The 18,296-nt window shown below is 43.6% G+C and overlaps 1 protein-coding gene across 9 annotated transcripts in view, besides 3 other annotated features; it reads right to left on the minus strand.

The window, feature by feature from the left end:
• TBC1D4 (TBC1 domain family member 4) overlaps window positions 1–13,268 on the minus strand; it is a 198,667-nt gene extending 185,399 nt beyond the window's left edge. For 7 of the 9 annotated variants that reach the window (XM_047430811.1, XM_047430810.1, XM_011535331.3 and 4 more), the window contains exon 1: window positions 12,369–13,268. In XM_047430811.1, the coding sequence (XP_047286767.1) occupies window positions 12,369–12,866 (498 nt within the window). In that variant the 5' untranslated portion in view covers window positions 12,867–13,268. The remainder of the gene's footprint in view (window positions 1–12,368) is intronic. The other 2 variants (NM_001286659.2, NM_001286658.2) reach the window with 1 other exon arrangement.
• Window positions 11,902–12,271: a silencer, noted in NCBI's record as "silent region_5401". NCBI's record gives its function as "represses an Ori minimal core promoter by ATAC-STARR-seq in GM12878 lymphoblastoid cells {active_cell/tissue: GM12878}" and the evidence as "EXISTENCE:reporter gene assay evidence [ECO:0000049][PMID:35858748]".
• Window positions 12,872–13,321: a silencer, noted in NCBI's record as "silent region_5402". NCBI's record gives its function as "represses an Ori minimal core promoter by ATAC-STARR-seq in GM12878 lymphoblastoid cells {active_cell/tissue: GM12878}" and the evidence as "EXISTENCE:reporter gene assay evidence [ECO:0000049][PMID:35858748]".
• Window positions 13,802–13,891: an enhancer, noted in NCBI's record as "active region_7827". NCBI's record gives its function as "activates an Ori minimal core promoter by ATAC-STARR-seq in GM12878 lymphoblastoid cells {active_cell/tissue: GM12878}" and the evidence as "EXISTENCE:reporter gene assay evidence [ECO:0000049][PMID:35858748]".

Consider the following 18,296-nt stretch of genomic DNA (forward strand, 5'->3'; position numbering starts at 1 on the left):
CTTACATTCCAGAGGTGGTGACAGTGCTCCCCGGAAGTGTAAAAAAGAAAATTAATTTTAAACGAGTTAAGTGTCAAAAGAAAAACAAATGGCTGAGACAGAAGTGAAAAAGTGGGCTACCCACCTAATGGAGGCCAATCTGAGGAAGTGACATTTGCAATTTAACAGAGAACTGAAGCCCAGGATAAAAAACTAAGCTCGCAAAGAATGGCAGTCACAAGTACAAAGGCTCTGGAGTGATTTAAGAGTTGAGCTTGTTTAAGGATAGGGGAGATGACTTATATGTCTGAATGTAATGCATGCAGGAGAGCAGCCTTCAAGAAGACACCCGGAGATGAACGGGGCGGAGTCACACACGATCACATGATAAGGAATTTGCATATTATTCTGAATGCAAGGGAAACCTGATCTGGCTCGTATTTTACCTCTCCTACTGCTCCATAAAAGAAGGGACTGATGGGAGAGCAAGCTGAGAACAAGGAGAAGAGGTGAGAGGCAGTATGATAGTCCCAGCAAAAGATAAGGTAGTGAGATCCGGGTGGTGTCAGTGGTAATGGAGAGCTGTGGACATACAAAAAATGAATTTTGGCCAGGTGCTGTGGCTCATACCTGTAATCCCAGCACTTTAGGGGGCTGAAGCAAGAGGACTGCTTGAGCCCAGGAGTTTGAGACCAGCCTGGGAAACATAGCCAAACCCTATCTCTACAAAAAATTTTTTAAAACATTAGCCAGGCATGGTGGCTGGAACCTGTAGTCTCAGCTACTTGGGAGGCTGAGGTGGGAGGATCACTTGAGCCCAGAAAGTCAAGGCTGCAGTGAGCTACGACTGCACCACTGTACTCCAGCCTGGGCCACAGAGCAAGAATCTGTCTCCTACCCCTCCAAAAAAAGAGTTTCGGAGGCAGAATCAATGTGACTTGCCTCAATGATTGAAATTGGTGAGTGAAAAAGTAGGATTCAAATATAATTCCCAGTTATGACAGCAAGTATATATTCAAGTGCAGATGTCAAATAAGCATTTAAATACTGAAGAAAGTTTGGGTTCAGAGGAGAGGGCTGGGCTATAGTAACAAATGTGGAAGCCGTCAACAAAAAATTTTTAAGTAGGTTTCAGAAAGGACATGGGGTTTGGAATCCCAGATCTGCCACTTACTAGCTCCAGTCCTTAAGAGAAGTATTTGAGCTTTAGTTTTCTCATCTATAAAATGAGAGTTAAAATACCTATTATTTTTTACAAGATTGTCTAGAGCAGGGGTTATCAATTTTTTTTTCCATAAAGGACCAGATAATAAAGATTTTAGGCCTGGGGACCATAAAGTCTCTGTCACAAATGCTCAGCACTGCCACTGTAGCACGAAAACATAAACAATATATGAACAAATGAGCTGGGCTGTGTTCAAATAAACTGTATTTACAAAAATAAAGGCTATAGTTTTGCCAACCCACTGTCTACTGCCGTATTGTCAAAGTGTGGGCACCAGACTGGCAGCATCAACATCACCTGGGAACTGTTAGAGATGCAAATTTAAGATACCACCCTAGACTTACTGAATCAAAAACTCCGGGGGTCAGGGTTGGGGTCCAGCAATCATATTGTAACAAAACGTCCAAGGGAGGAGTCCTAAATTTGAGAATCTCTGGTCTAGAGAGTAAATAAATATAAAGTGATTAGGTGCTATTTTTATCATCATTAATCTGGCTCCTAGAAGTTTAGGGTATAGCTCCTAAACATCAAGTCAAATGCTGGGTAATTTTGGTAGATCAAGCAAAAGACAGATAAAAATCTCTGTTAAACTATATGATGGGTTGGCCAGGCATGGTGGCCTGTAATCCCAGCACTTTGGGAGGCCAAGGCAGGTGGATCACCTGAGGTCAGGAGTTTAAGACCAGCCTGGCCAACATAGTGAAACCTCGTTTCTACCAAAAAATACATAAACTAGCCAGGTGCGGTGGAGCGTGCCTGTAGTCCCAGATACTTGGGAGGCTGGGGCACAAGAATCACTTCAACCTAAGAGGTGGGGGTTGAAGTAAGCCAAGATCCGCCACTGCACTCCAGCCCAGGTGACAAAGTGAGCCCCTGTATCAAAAAAAAAAAAAAACTATATGGTGGGCTTAGGTGAAAATACTGGAGAAATTAAAGGTTGATTTTTATATATTCTTTATTCTAAAGAAGTCCTTTACTTTCTTATGTTAAGACAGATTTAATTATGTCATGTTCACACTCCACTTATTAAAATGAACAATTTAATTTTTAAATATATATATATATATCTCCAACCTAACTTCCAGTAGAAGAAACGTGATATGCCAATTAACTTCCAGATCCCTGATGGAGGATTAGGCATTAGGTGACAGTCTCTATGTTATAACTAATGTACTTTATTTACATGAACAGAGAATAAACAAATTTATCAAATGTTATTAACAGAATAATGTGACCAGTGGAAAGGTTTAAAATTAATGGAGCAAGATAAAACATAAAGGGGTATCTATAAATAGAATACACCACCACCTGTTTTCATATTGTTTAATACTGCTATTAGAAACTAGACAAAGCCAGGCCGGGTGGCTCAAGCCTATAATCCCAGCACTTTGGGAGGCCAAGGCGGGAGAATCACTTGAGGCCAGGAGTTCCAGGCCAGCCTGGCCAACATGGTGAAAGCCAGTGTTTACCACAAATACAAAAATTAGCCAGGTGTGGTGGCACACAACTGTAATCCCAGCTACATGGGATGCCGAGGCAGGAGAATTGCTTGAACCTGGGAGGCGGAGGTTGCAGTGAGCCGAGATTGGGCCACTACACCACTCCAGCCTAGGTGACGGTGAGACTGTCTCAAAAAAAAAAAAAAAGAAAGAAACTAGACAAAGATCTGCCTATTGAACCTGCCTACCTGCCTCAAATTAGATAAAAAGAATTGTGGATGGCCAGGCACTGTGGCTCACGCCTGTAATCCCAGCACTTTGGGAGGCCGAGGCGGGCGGATCACCTGAGGTCGGGAGTGCGAGACCAGCCTGGTCAACGTGGTAAAACCTCATCTCTACTAAAAATACAAAAATTTGCCGGACATGGTGGCGGGCGCCTGTAGTCCCAGCTACTCAGGAGGCTGAGGCAGGAGAATCACTTGAACCCAGTAGGTGGAGGTTGCAGTGAGCAAAGATTGTGCCACTGTACTCCAGCCTGGGCAACAGAGCCAGACTCTGTCTCAAAAAAAAAAAAAAAAAAAAGAAAAGAAATATGGATGGGCCATTGCGGTGGCTCACGCCTGTAATCCCAGCATTTTGGGAGGCTGAAGTGGTCGGATCATGAGGTCAAGAGAGAACAGCCTGGCCAACATGGTGAAACTCCGTATCTACTAAAAATACAAAAATTAGCTGGGTGTGCTGGCAGGCGCCTGTAGTCCCAGCTACTCAGGAGGCAGAGGCAGGAGAACTGCTTGAACCTGGGAGGCGGAGGTTGCAGTGAGCCGAGATCACGCCACTGCATTCCAGCCTGGGTGACAAAGCAAGACTCCGTCTCAGAGAAAAAAAATAAAAATAAAAAAAAGAATTGTGGATGGATTTAAAAGGGTCATGCCCACCACCACCACTATGTTCATGCCAACAGGCTTTTACAAAATTCCATACGACAGCCAAAATAAAATCTGTACAAAATAAAATCTGTCTGCAAATAAAATCTGTTAACAGCCTTAGAAGGAGCTAACAGGAAGGGGCGAGGACCATAACTAGATACTCTCTCAGGAAAAAGAAGGCCAGCTTCCATGACTAGAAAGAAATCCAATCAGGCAAGTAGTGCACAATCTGTAAAGAGTTAGGCAACAAGCATTGGGTGGTCTTCAAAGGGAGCAGCAGAATCAGGGAGTTCCAACACAGAATAATGAGGGATCCAAACTAGTCTCCTAAAGAACTTGCTACTGGAAATCTGGGAGCAATAATTACCTGGAGAATCAAGGAGAAAGGCTATCAGTTTAATTCAGGTAAACTCAGGAAAAGCTCTCAGACTGCCCAGCCAATGGGAATTAAATGACTGAAACCAAGGCAAGAGATGAGTTGAAAAAGCTGGGAGCCATGTAAGGACCAAAAACAATTTACTCATTGATATTTATTTATTTATTTGGAGACAGAGTAAGCTGTCGCCCAGGTTGGAGTGCAGTGGCACAATCACGGCTCACTGCAACCTCCACTTCCCAGGTTCAAGCAATTCTCATGCCTCAGCCTCCTCCTGGGTAGCTGGGATTACAGGCATGCACCACCACACCTGGCTAATTTTTGCTATTTTTTTAGAAGAGATGGGGTTTCACTGTGTTGGCCAGGCTGGTCTCAAACTCCTGGTCTCAAATGATTTGCTTGCTTCGGCCTCCCAATTTTTACTGAATTTTAAAAGGTCCCAGCCATAAATGTATTTGTCCAAGTTACATAACCCATTATTAAAAATATATATGAAGATACAATTGTAAGATACAAAAGAAGATACAATTGTGAGATACAGAAGATTTCTAGATTTGTTCGACCAGAAGCACTGTGTTTGACTTAGAATCTGAGACTGATAGTAAACTATTCACAAATTATGTAATATTGATAGCACAAAGTTTCCATGGTCCTAACTTAGAGAATTTTTAAAATTTGTGTGAAAATTCACAAAAGTTAAAAGTGAAGACTATTCAACTGGTTAAGGGTATCCACAAAATAAAAACGCTAAAGCAGCAGCCAATGTAGGCTCCTATTTTTAGCCAGAAAGATTCCATTACTTAGAGATCCTCTTTCCAACCCCAACATCTTGCAAGAAGTGAAACTTGGAAGAGATCAGTAAAACAGTAATAACAACCCTGATTTCCTTCTGCTGAGACTGCACAAACCTATGGCAAGATTATCTGAAATGAAACCAACCAAAGTTTTAATCCTATATTTTGTCCCTGTCATATAATCACAGATATCAAAGACATATTAAAAGATATTCATATACTTTATAATTCAATAAAATAAATTCAAATTCATGGTTTACTTGTTTTTAAATGTAGATCCTAATGATCTTTTATTCTAACCTAAAATTATAATGGTTATAAATACTATAGACTCATAGTTTATTCCCCCGCCATACTTAAAGACACTAAATCAAAGGTACACCAGAGTTCAGCCTTACCAGCCCAACAAATCAAACAAACTTTTTTTATTTCCCCTTAAAATGGAAAGTACATACTGGCATAACTATACCCAAGTGTGCATTCAGCACTAATTATTATTTTACAAACTTAATAAGCATATTTACCTGTGGAGATTTTTAATATGAGTAGGAAAAAGTGATAGTATAAAAGCTGATAAGACCAACAACTAAAAACTAATTTTCAATAACTGCATTCTAGTGTAGCAGGTAAGAAAACTGGCCGGGCACAGTGGCTCACGCCTGTAATCCCAGCACTTTGGGAGGCCTATGCGGGCGGATCACGAGGTCAGGAAATCGAGACCATCCTGGCTAACACGGTGAAACCCCGTCTCTACCAAAAATACAAAAAATTAGCCAGGCGTGGTGGCGGGTGCCTGTAGTCCCAGCTATTCGGGAGGCTGAGGCAGGAGAATGGCGTGAACCCGGAAGGCGGAGCTTGCAGTGAGCCGAGATTGCGCCACTGCACTCCAGCCTGGGCGACAGAGTCAGACTCCGTCTCAAAAAGAAAAGAAAACAAGCTTTAGAATCTGCCTGGATAGAAATATGCTTCTACCAAGGTCTTGTGACCTTGGAGAAATAATTTAACCTTTTTTTTTTTTTTTAATCTCACTTTGTCGCCCAAGCTAAAGTGCAGTGGTACGATCCAGGCTCACTGCAACCTCCATCTCCCAGGTTCAAGCGATTCTCCTGCCTCAGCCTCCCAAGTAGCTGTGATTACAGGCGTATGCCACCATACCTGGCTAATTTTTGTATTTTTAGTAGAGATGGGGTTTCACCATGTTGGCCAGTCTGGTCTCGAACTCCTGACCTCAGGTGACCCGCCTGCCTCAGCCTCCCAAAGTGCTGGGATTACAGGCATGAGCCACCACGCCCGGCCCATAATTTAACCTTTCTATATCTCAGTTTTCTCATCTATAAAATGAAGGAAATACTGGTACGTACTTCACCCAGTTACTGTGAAGCTAAAGGGTGATCTCCTAAGAGAAGCAGTGAGAGTAGTGCTATCACCCAGGAAGAGCTCAATAAACGTTCACTTTTAAGGAAATGCATTAAGGAGCTACTCAGACAAACTTGACAGTGCAATGTCAACATACCATATTACATACCATATTCCAACCTTAAAGTAACAAGCCAATGACATCCTTAGAGTTGGCACATCCCAGTGAGGTATTCAATTTGTATACATATTTTATGCAGACCATATGTCAAGAAAAATCCTTTACTTGGTCAAATAAGTCTGAATATACTATTACATTAAATCATAATTGAGCTGTTCTTCACTTTCCAAGGGGCTACATCCAAGTAACTGCATGTTGGCTTGGTTCAGACATGCCAATGTAGTCTAAAGGAAAGGGGACTCTGAAACTACCAGCCAGATATTTTTAAACAAACAGAAGCCTTGAGGTTTTTTTAAGTAAATAAAATTGTTTGCAGTAATTATTTAGGCTGGCCATTATCTTATTCACTAAATTGCCCAACTCTACTTCTTTTTGCATGATTTTCTTAATAGCCAGTATACTAAGCATGCTGCTATTTTTCTGACTTGATTCTTTTACTTATGAGGTAAATAATATACCAGATAATCTAGAAAATTCATGGAAATCATCAGTTTCCTCACCAAGCAATTACTCATTCCAAAATGAGAAAAGGGCATGTGAACAGTCTCTGCCTTACTGAATGGTGTTATTTCTCAGGCTGTAAATCAAGCTTTAATTTTTTCAAAAACTATCATAATCTGAAATTAGGATATATGGGTTGCGTATCACTTATCCAACATACTTGGGAACAGAAGTGTTTCAGATTTTGAATTTTTTTTTCAGATTTTGGAATATTTGCATATACATAATGAGATATCTTAAGGATGAGACCCAAGTCTAAGTATAAAATTCATTTATGTTTCTGGCTGGGTGCAGAGGCTCATACCTGTAATCCCAGCACTTTGGGAGGCCCAGGCGGGCAGATCACTTGAGGTCAGGAGTTTGAGACCAGCCTGGCCAATATGGTGAAACCCCGTCTCTACTAAAAATACAAAAATTAGCTGGGCGTGGTGGTGCACTCCTATAATCCCAGCTACTTGGGTGGCTGAGGCAGGAGAATCACTTGAACCTGAGAGGTGGAGGTTGCAGTGAGCCGAGATCGCGCCACTGCACTCCAGCCTGGGCGACAGTGCGAGACTCCACCTCAAAAAAATAAACAACAACAACAAAAAAACTTCATTTGTGTTTCTATACACCTTATACACATAGCCTCAAGGTAATTTTATACAATATGTTTAATAATTTTGTGTGTTTTGACTGTGATCTCATGAAATCAGGTGAAGAATTTTCCACCTGTAGTGTCATGTTGATGCTCAAAACGTTTCTGACGTTAAAACACTTTGGACTTCAGATTTTTAGGTTATCTGTATTCCCCTCAAAATGAACTGTTTATTCCACCTGCAGAACTTAAAACTTTTGGCTGAAAGGCAAAGTTTTCATTCAACATTTGCATGGTCTTATGATGTCTGGCAGAATAATGTCTATATCAGGGAAAGGACAGGCAAATCATTAAGCTAGAAGATGAAGAGCTTCTTAAAAATATTCCAGAGTCAAATATTATTTCTCCTCACATTCCACTTGAACTTTCAAGTCTGAGAAAGACTACAAAAATATCCAGGGGAACAGAAATGGTCATACAGCCAACCAAATGAACCAAATAACTTAGCACAGGGTTTCTAAAACTGTGGTCACCCGGCCAGTAGTTTGAGCATCACCAGAGAACTTGTTAAATCAGAAATTGAGGGTAGGGTCCAGTGGTCTCTTTTAAGAAGCCCTCTAGGTAATTCTGACACACACACTGAAGTTTGAGAATCTCTGGTTTCTGATAATCAAGCCCTGACACTGAACACCTTCAATTTTCAGCTTAGGGCTCCTATCATAATGTGCTCCATTGTGGCTGGGAGTCTCTGGGCTATGTTTGTGCCTTTCCGCCAGATATTGCAGTCAAGATTCTACCACAGAGCCAAGGCAAATTAACCTCCACTTCAGACTGCAAGGAGGAGAGAGAATAAAAAATGATTACAAAAAAAGAGATAGATCTATCTGTCCACAGAACAAACTTCTTAGAAAGCACAGAGAGGTGAAATCTTCCAGGTTTCAATTTCTCTGGTATTCTTACTAGTATATTCTCAAAGCTACTAACCATCAACTTTGAAAAAGAACTGAAAAATGACCTTCTAAAAATATATTGACAAAAAAACTGGTTACGTGAATAAAGCTCAGATAGTAATACACGTTTTTAAGAGAACTGAGAGTTGGGAAAACACTGGCATTAAATTCCTTTTTTTAATCTTAAGAACACAATTTGTAAAGTCTCTTTAAAATCATTCTTGCAAGCTTCAGTAAATAATACACAAAAACAACCAATAAACATTATAACAATCATGTTTTTACCTTTTAAATGATTGTTCATCCTATAATTATAAAACATAATGATGCTTCAAAACTCACAGGCAAATGTTAATTAAAAATTAACATAACAAAGTCTCATATTTTCAATAACAACTCCTGCTTTATTTTTTATTGTAGTAATGTATGTATAACATAAAATAACTTTTTAACAGAAAAATTTGGGTAATGCCATACAGACTCTTTTTGCAAGTGGATAAATATTTACAGAGTATTAGTGACCTATCCTAGACCTTTGGGAGAGAATCAGATATTCTTGTTTCCCCAATCAGTTTAAGTCTGTAATTCACTTCATGCCAATGGGATTAAGCCCTTTTCCCAGTTCAAATATTCAAGTTTAGCTGAAATGTGCTAAGCCTGACATTCCTCCTGTATAAGACTACATAGGCTTGACTAGAGACAGATCTGCATTGGCATACATTTCACCCCCATCTCCATTTCTCTTTGCACCTTGGAGAAACAGTGGTGCATTGAGCCATTCTGGTTGAATGCTTCTCCTGACACACATCCTTAAATTGACTCTGACCCAAAGGGAGGTGTGGAGCCAAGAGGGAACACATCACTGTGGCAACTCCCCACAACAGACCCCCAAGCGATTAGTACAGCACTCCCAGCTCTAAGGTCAAATGTAGATCCAACTCCAATATGTGAGTAGATACTCTTGAAAACATTATCATTTTATATTAGTAACCACAATCCTCCAACTCGGTGGCTCTGCATGAACACAAACTTTGCCATGGTGACCATATATCTCGGTTTGTCCTCAACAGTCCAGGTTTATTACTCACAGTGCTTGTATAATTATTAGTGGTGCCCCTTTTGACAATAAAATTGTCCCATATCAAACAATAAAGTATACGGTCATCCAACAGATAGGGCCATTGCATTAAAGGAATAGGCATGACAGACAAACCACAGACAAGTATGTTAGGGGATGTTTGCAGGTCTACTGCTCTAGGCTACGTTTGTAGACTTTATAGACTCTGTCGAGGACTGAGGGAAACACTTAGGAGACTCTCTTAACAATGATCTTAAGTCCAAATAAATAATTCTCCACTTCAAATATAGAACTCAGAACAAAGCAAACAGCAGGTCTTCCTTCTGATTTCAAGGGTCCCTAGAACTATCCACAGCCAACTCTGCATGAAGCATACTGCTGGATGATAATATGTTGAACTGACCCCTTTAACATGTCTAGCTGCAGAATCAACACTTCTGGGAATTTTTCTGCTAAATTCTTCAAAAAGGATGGTCCCAGCTTCCCCTACTATGACAGCCATATCAAATGAACCTGGATGCTCTAAAGGAAATACAGCAAACAGCACATAGTGTCAATGACTGCGCTTGTCCACTCAACAAATATTTATGCCAAAGATCAAAAGTGGCCGCTCATGGATCTCTAAAGCCATCTCTCAGATGTGTATTGTTTGGCCCAGATAGGATTCTTAAATGTTTACAATATTTGCCAGTACTTTAAAATGCGGGGTCATATATAAAAATTCAGATTTCCACTCTCTCTTGGGAAATCAGCAGCTCTAGCAACGCTAGACTTGCATCCTATTCATGCAATTTCCAAGTGGAGCTAAGTAGCACCTTGAGAAAGGCCACCCACTATCCAGTCCTCCATGGTCCTCACTCAACCCTCTTCTTTGTTATTTGAGTTTGTAACCACCGATTAATGGCTGGAGATGCTCTCTAGAGACGCTACATCTGGCCCTTCAAATTAATAACCCTCTGCCAGGAAATCTCTTGGTTAAGAGCAAATAGTAATTCATATCTTTAGATCAAACACTCATCTGGGAAAAGGCAATAAACAGGAAAGTTAGAGGTTTTCTTGAACTTTTATGAGAAAGTCATATGACTACCACTGCTCCCACTGGACTAAAAGGGGGAAGTGAGCCTAAACATATTAATATTTATATAGTTCAGCCTCTAACGCTTAAATATATAATGGAGGAAAATAAAGGAATGTTTATAATTGACTTCCTACCAATGAGACCAAGAGGAACTCAACAGCAGCTGTTGAGAACTAAAGGTGCCAGGACCATCAATGAGATTAGCAACAATGTGTCATGCATCAGATGTCGCTGGGGGGAAATAACTTTAACAGAAACCCCCGAGAGTCATGAAAAGTTCCTTAAAGTCCTGGAAAAATGCAACTGGCTCCTCTTTACCACCAGAACCAGAAAAATGTAATACAATAAAATGTAATAGCTTTCAGAAACTTTCCAATTTTAACATATGTGAAAGCTAAAAATAAGTTTTGAACAAATGTTCACAAAATGAAATTCATTAAATCGTGGTTAGGATCTTGAAATAATTTTAGTACGATATTTTGCCATAAACATAACAGTTATGCCATAAACATAACTTCACATTAGGAGTTCTGATTGTTGGGTGCCTGTAATGCCAGCTACTGGGGAGGCTGAGGCACGAGAATCACTTGAACCCGGAAGGTGGAGGTTGCAGTGAGCCGAGATCGCACCACTGCGCTCCAGCCTGGGCGACAGAGCAAGACTCCGTCTCAAAAAAAAAAAACCTATTTTTCAAAGTAACTGATGAAATCTAAGACAATGAACTATTATTTTCTTCAATTCAACTACAAGCCTTTTGTGAAAACTGTTGAACTAAGTCTTTCAATTACAGACAGAAGAATTGTGAAATAAAAAAAATTAAAGCCATATTTATAGGATGTTTTTCTCATCTGACTACGATTAATTTCCCAGTTACCAAAAGAAAGCCACATGGTGCAACCTGAGACTTTATTTATATTTAGACAACACTATTTTTCCAAAGAACCTAAAGTACTGTGCAAACAGTAAATAACCATTTTTAAAACAGCATTTTGGAAGCTTTTGATATGGCGGGGAGAAAACTCATTACAAATTAAAGGGGGAAAACTCTGTTTTCAAAGACACAATCACTGCATAGTCAAGTTCTCCTCTCCCTGTTCCATAAGGACCATATCTGTTTTTAAGGAAGTAAAGTTTACTGTTTGGTAATTAGATTTAGAAGACTCTGGAAAAAAAATATTAAAAACAAAAGTGAAAAAAACATTTAAAAAATGATATTAGAAACCTGTTCTACTACACTGCCTCCAATAAGTGTGTTTAAAAACCGCAAAAAAAGGGCTTCTTTCCATTCAATATCCAAATGTAGAATCCTTCTTTGCAGACAATCTGACGATGTCTAGTAACTTTTCCCTAAGCCCCGCTCGGAAATTGCCTCCCAGACCGGAGACCTGCAGGTGCTGCTGCGAAGATGACGCGACCAGCCAAACCGGTTAAGGATTTGACTGCGATTGAGAACTAGTGAGGACCTCTAGGAACCCAACCTTCTGCGTTCATACACGCGCTCGCGCGCACACGCACGCACACACACACACACACACACACACACACGGCAAGCAAGCCATCTCCGGTCACACCCCAGACACCGCCGTCCTCCCGGGACGGGCGCTCCTCCACGCGTGCTCCTTGGACGCGCCAGCTCCCCCTCCATCCCGGGACCGTTGTCCTTTTCCCTCCGGGTCCCTGCTGTAGCCGGCCGGCCGCTCCCGCCGCTCGCCCAGCCCCCGAACGCCTTCTCTCCCACTCCCAAGGTCCAGGGAAGGGGCCAGCCGGCGCTTGAGCGCGCCACGTGGAGCGCGCGCGCCTGCAGCCAAACCTCAGTCGGTCCTTAAAGTGGGGTCCCCGCCCCTCCCGCCCTGCTCCCCGATCCCCCAAGGCCGAGCCCGCCCCCGCGCCTCCGAGCCCCTGTCTTGCCTGGCTGGGGTCTGTGGCGCGGAAAACGTGGCAGGCCATCTGCGACTCGGGGTCGTCGGGCTGCGCCTTGATCAGGTAGGCAAAGTAGGTGAGGTCGTGGCTGTTGTGGATGAAGCGCGAGATATGCTGCGCCTTGTGCTCGAAGATGAATACCGCCGGGTTGGGCTGCGTGGCCGACGGACTAGTGCCCCCCGAGGCCCCAGCGCCCGGCGCGGGGACGCAACGCAGGAAGGGCGCGCTGAGCACCAGGATCACCTCTCGGGCCGCCGGCGCCCCGCAGCCGCCCGCCTCGGGCTTCTGGCTGCGCCTGCGGATCTCGGCCATGAGCCAGGGCAGCATAGGCAGCGTGGTCCTGTGGTCCAGGCACGACCCCCCAACGTACCACAGCCGGAACCGCTTATCGCTTGGCTTCCCGGGGCCGGGCTGAGCTGAGACGCCCGGCTCGGGCTCCAGGGGGTGCGGGAACGGCTCATCCTGAATGCAGCTGGGCGGCTCCATAACTCTCGCCTCACCAGGGCACCGCGGAGGCCGGCCGGGCGCACCGCGCCCCCCACTCCCGCGCAGAAGGCGCCGCCGAAACTGTGCCAACTGCCGCACCGGGCTCCCGCGCCTGCCTGGGAGCGGCGCGACCCCGAACTCCGCGCTTCAGCAGCCCTGCCCCATGCAGCACTTCCACGGGCGCGGCTCGGAGGCTCCGGCGGCGGGCACCGAGGCAAGCGCCCGGCAGGCGAGGGCGGGTTAAATGGGCATCCTCCTCCTTGGGCTGGCGCCTCGGGCAGGACCTCCCCTTCCTCCGTCGCGGGTTTGCAGGGTCAGAGGACCACGCCGAGGGTCCCCGCGGCCGCCGGCTCCAGCGCTGCAGCCCCGCTGCGGCCGCCGCGCTCGCCTGGGGCAGACACTGGGTGGCTGGGCGGGGAATGGGGCTGTGGGCGGGAGGGGGTGACTTGGGGCGGAGCTGACTCCTACCAGGGTGACCGGCTGTCACCTGGAAGGTCGGGGCTGCAGGGCTGCGGCGCGGTCAGTCCTCAGGAAAGGCTCCGGCAACTACTCCAGTGGAAAATAACAAAAACAAAACGTGGCCTCGCGGGGGCCGCTCCTCCTCCCGCCGCAGCTGCAGCCCAGCTCGCTGCTCCTCCTCCTGCCGTTCCCGTCCCTCCCTCGCTCCTTCCTTCCTTCCTTCCAGGCTGCTTCTTTAATCGGGCTGCTACTCCGCCTCCCGTCCGGCGGGCGGAGAGCGTCGCCTGCAAAAGCTTATCCGTGAAGCCGCCTCTCCGCCTCTTCGCCTCTTCCTTCGACCCCCGCCCTTGGGGCTGCAGCTCAGAGCCTGGCGCGGGCACTGCCCGGACCCACTTGGCCTCTCTTGAGTCGCCGCGATCTCCGTCTCCTCCCGGGCGTCTCTGCTGCCCCCTAGAGAGGGGGCCACTCGCAGTGGAGAACTGGGATTTTTTTTTAACAGTATTTGCTTGGTTTCAGTTCCTTCTAAAGCCTACACATTAATTTCTGAATTATCTTTCCTAATAATCTCAAAAAACGCTCGTGTTTTCAATCACAATATTATAAATTCCAGTTCCAAATTTCACTTTAAAACATAATATCGACAGCTTGAATCTTCCTAGTTATTAAAGCAGCCAACTTCTTAAAATATGGAAAAGTTATGTTTTATTTATGTTATATCCCCAGTTGAGAGCTAATGTAGAGATTTCTTGTTCTTTTATATATATGTGGTAATACATATTTCCAAAGAACTAAAAAAAAGTTTGGAATAATTTGATCATTGTAATTTTAAGACAGGTAGACAAGTATTCTCCCTTTTTACTCATACCGAATGATAATTAAGAATTGGGTAAGAAGTAAAGACAAAATAAATAAGAAAGACACAGAAGTTCCTGACTTTCTCCTAAGTGCTTACAAGAAGAATGAAAACTCGGGTTTCTTGGTTTTTAGTTTAATGAGTTCTCACTTTTTATAAAGCCCTGGGACCACTTTTTCCCTTCTATTTATTTAAGATCAATATAACCAACTGCCATTGTTCTTATGCTGAATTTCTGGTTGCACTCTGATGGCTCTCTTATTAATAGGTATCTAAGTTCCAAGATGGAGACATTACTAATTGATTAGGTTAAGTCATTTGGTTGAACCACTTAAAAAACCTTTGTTCAAAAAGACCCATGTCTTCAAAGAAGCAATGAAAAGTTCTTGGAAGGTAGACTGAGACCTTCTAGAACCTTCCCAGAAACTCTGTTACACAGATCCCATTTCCTTAGGCTACATATCTGAGACATAAAAGAAAGGAACAAAGATATGGAGAAAGCATGGAAGTCTTGTAGACTCTACGAAATCAACCAGCTTGGGAGCTAGGATTGAATTAATAGCTCCAGCAGGCCAGTTACTACTGGCATAATAAAGTGAAGTAACAAAGAACACCCTTTCACTGATTGACAGAAAAACAGAATTGTCTTTTATTACATGACATGCTAAGTATGATTGCTTTCTGCTTGAGAATGCCCCTCATTCTTTCTATTGTTATTTTTTTTGTTTTTGTTTTTGTTTTTGTTTTTGTTTTCTGAGACGGAGTCTCGTTCTGTCGCCCAGGCTGGAGTGCAGTGGTGCGATCTCGGTTCACTGAAACCTCCACCTCCGTGGTTCAAGCAATTCCCCTGCCTCAGCCTCCCAAGTAGCTGGGATTACAGGTGCACACCACCATGCTTGGCAAATTTTTTTGTATTTTTAGTAGAGACGGGGTGATCTCAGGCAGTCCGCCCAGCTCAGCCTCCCAAAATGCTGGGATTACAGGCATGAGCCACTGCACCCAGCCCTGTTAGGTTTATCTTACTGAATGCTACTGAGCATTTTTACTGTCTGATCCTCTCTGAATCCTCACACATGGGCAGATAGTCCTTTCCTGCCCTCCTTGAAGTTAGCCACAATCATATGACTTGTTTTGACAGTGAAATGTGAACAGAAGTGACTTGGGTAGAAGCATTTAATTGCCAGTAGTCGAGGCTCCTGCCCACTCTTCTCTCCAGTGGCCATCATGGAGACATGTCCAGGTAGAGGCGCCTTGTAACCAAAGCAGCCCCTTGTAACCAAAGCAGCCCCAAAGGCTGAGCCAACACACATCAGACATCTGTCCTGGAGAATCTCCCAGGCCTACAGCAGACTCCTCAGGAGTAAGAAATAAACTTTTGTTCCACTAAGCCACTGAGATTGTAGATTGTTTTCTACTGTGTTATTAATCTCTCTTATCCTGCAAATAAAATTGTTATACTCTAGCATTAATATGTTTTATACAAATTGTTTTATAATCATTCATACATCTATTTTACTTAGTACACACATGAACTAGATGGTAAGCTATTAGTTTCTTACCACCATTGTATCACTTGCAGAGCTTTACAAAATTACATGCGCATGAAAAGTTCCCAGTTATATATTTGATCACTTAAATTTAGAAAACAGTAAGAGGGCCAGGGTTGGTGGCTCCACATCTGTAATTACAGCACTTTGGGAGGCCTAGGCAGGCAGATCACTTGAAGTCAGTAGTTAGAGACCAGCCTGGCCAACATGGTGAAATCCCATCTCTACTAAAAATACAAAAAAGTAGCCAGGCGTGGTGGCGGGTGCCTGTAGTTCCAGCTACTCAGGAGGTCCAGGCAGGAGAATCACTTAAACCCAGGAGGCGGAGGTTGCAGTGAGCCAAGATAGCGTCACTGTACTCCAGCCTGGGAAACAGAGCCAGATTCCATCGAGAGGGGGAGAGAGAGAGAGAGATAGACTTCCTAAAGCGCAACGCTCTACTCTTTCTGCCTATTTTATTTTTGCTCCTCATTCCCCTACTCTCACTTCCACACAGTCTCCCTGTTCCCTTAGTACATGTTCATGTTTTTATGGGGCTTCACCAGCTCCTTCCTCTCCCCAACTGCCTTTTCTTCCCACTGCCCCACAACTTGCATTTCCTCATCCTTCACTATTTCAAGACCCATTCTTCAAGACCCAACTCAAGAGTCATCTCTTCTGTGAAGATCTTTCTTTCTTTGCCAGCCAGAGCTAATGGCCTTCTCTCCTTTGCCCCCTTTTCTATGCATTTCACTATTATAACTCTTATCATTCTTTAGAATTTTGGGGTGATTTGTCTGCATTCCCACCACAACAAAAGCATCTTGAGAGAAGGGATTATTTTTCCCCCACATGTGAGTCAGTAGTTCCTCTGAAGGGATTATTTGTTTGTCTCATACTTTCCTCCAGTAAAAACCACAGTAGCTGACACTAGGTAGGTGATAAATACTGAATGAATGAGTGGAGTTGAATAAATAGCAGATTAGAATTTAAGAAGCTAAAGAGGGATGTTTTGATATCATAGAGGAGATATGCCAAATGATTTAATTAGCTAATTTCAGGTTAACCTACTAAATATATCCATCAACTAATTATAAAGTACTAAAAAATAATAGAACGCCTCCCAAAAATTGTAGTGGAGTTCTAGCTGGGGATGACACACAGAACCCAAGCATTTGTGATTAACAGAATGTCAAGATATTCACAGGGTTTTTCCTCATTGTTCCCTGTGACCTTCCTTCAGCCCAGGCAGCCAGGGCATTCCATCTTCCCACTTCAGGGAAAGGATGACACAGCATAACACAGAGAACAAAAGAGTTCATTCTTAGCTTTCAGGTGAAAAAAACCCAAGGACCTGGCAAGGCAGGCAAAAGATTTAAAATATATTATATGCTCCAAGAGTCAGTTTCTCTTGCTCTAGACACTAAAGAAAATTTCCCCAAACTTGGGAGATAGAGGAGAAGAATGGGAATAAGAGGGTTTAGGTCTTGTGGATCTCCAGGGAGGGGACCTAGGCTCTGTCTCTTCTGGTTAAGTCAGTGGAGGGGGGCATAGTTCTCCAGAGCAGAAGCTGTGCTGCTCTTTCCCAAGGGTAGCCCAGGAAACCTGCAAGACCTCGGTGTTTCTCCCATGCCCATCATAGAGAGGAAGCAGAAGAAGGGGAGAGGGCATCTAGGCAGCAGACCTTAAACAGCCTCTGGAAATGCCCTGCATGCAAAGGGAGCACTGGATATATCCTCATGTAGCCAAGGAAAAGCACAGAGACAAACCAGAGTCAGTGAACTGAAAAGCCCTTGTGGTCAGGACAAGGAGGACAAGGCAGTGACCATGTTCGCTGATGCACTGGCTACACCTACCAGGACATACAGCAAAGGCTCAGACTGACAGCCCTACAGGAGGTCTGGAAATCATCTCATCCAGCCTACTAGCCTAAAGCTAGAAGACAGAAACCTCCAAAAGGAAATTCTACCCACCCCCCACCCCACCAAAAAAAAAAGGTGGTTTTGGGCAGAGACAAAAGATGGCATAGAATACAGAGTATAATTAAATTCCTAGCTACTATGAATGATTGGTTTGATTCAGAAGGGCTTTGCATCAGCCCACAGACCAAATACAGGAAAATACTAGATACATTTTTTAAAAGAACTTAAGCAACTATGAAAACTAGAAGGAAACATTTCTAGATGCCAGAAATGAAGAGTTAGGCAAAAACCACAATGGTCAGTGGCAGCGGAAGCCAACAGCTTCTGAGGCTATCAGATCTAGAAATACGGGTGGGTAGCTGGGACCATATTTTCACAGTCATGCAAGATTATAGATGAGTCTAATAGAAGTTAGGACCTGGAACTGAGCTCCCTGATTAGAGACAAAAGCTGCTGACTGGCAAGCTGTCTCATCTATAAAACAGAGTGGAAAACGTTCATCAGCCATTATGGGAAAGCAGTGAAGAGTCTGGCAGAGCCCAAATTAACTTTATGTGCATCATGGGAGAAACTGAAGTTAAGAAAATAATAAAAACAGCTTTGAACTAGTGAAAATGGAAAATCTCCCTGGGGATCATGAACCAGTCTCCAGAGGACCCAGTCCTTCTTC

Source organism: Homo sapiens, chromosome 13 (genome assembly GCF_000001405.40).
Source record: "Homo sapiens chromosome 13, GRCh38.p14 Primary Assembly".
NCBI lineage: Eukaryota > Metazoa > Chordata > Mammalia > Primates > Hominidae > Homo > Homo sapiens.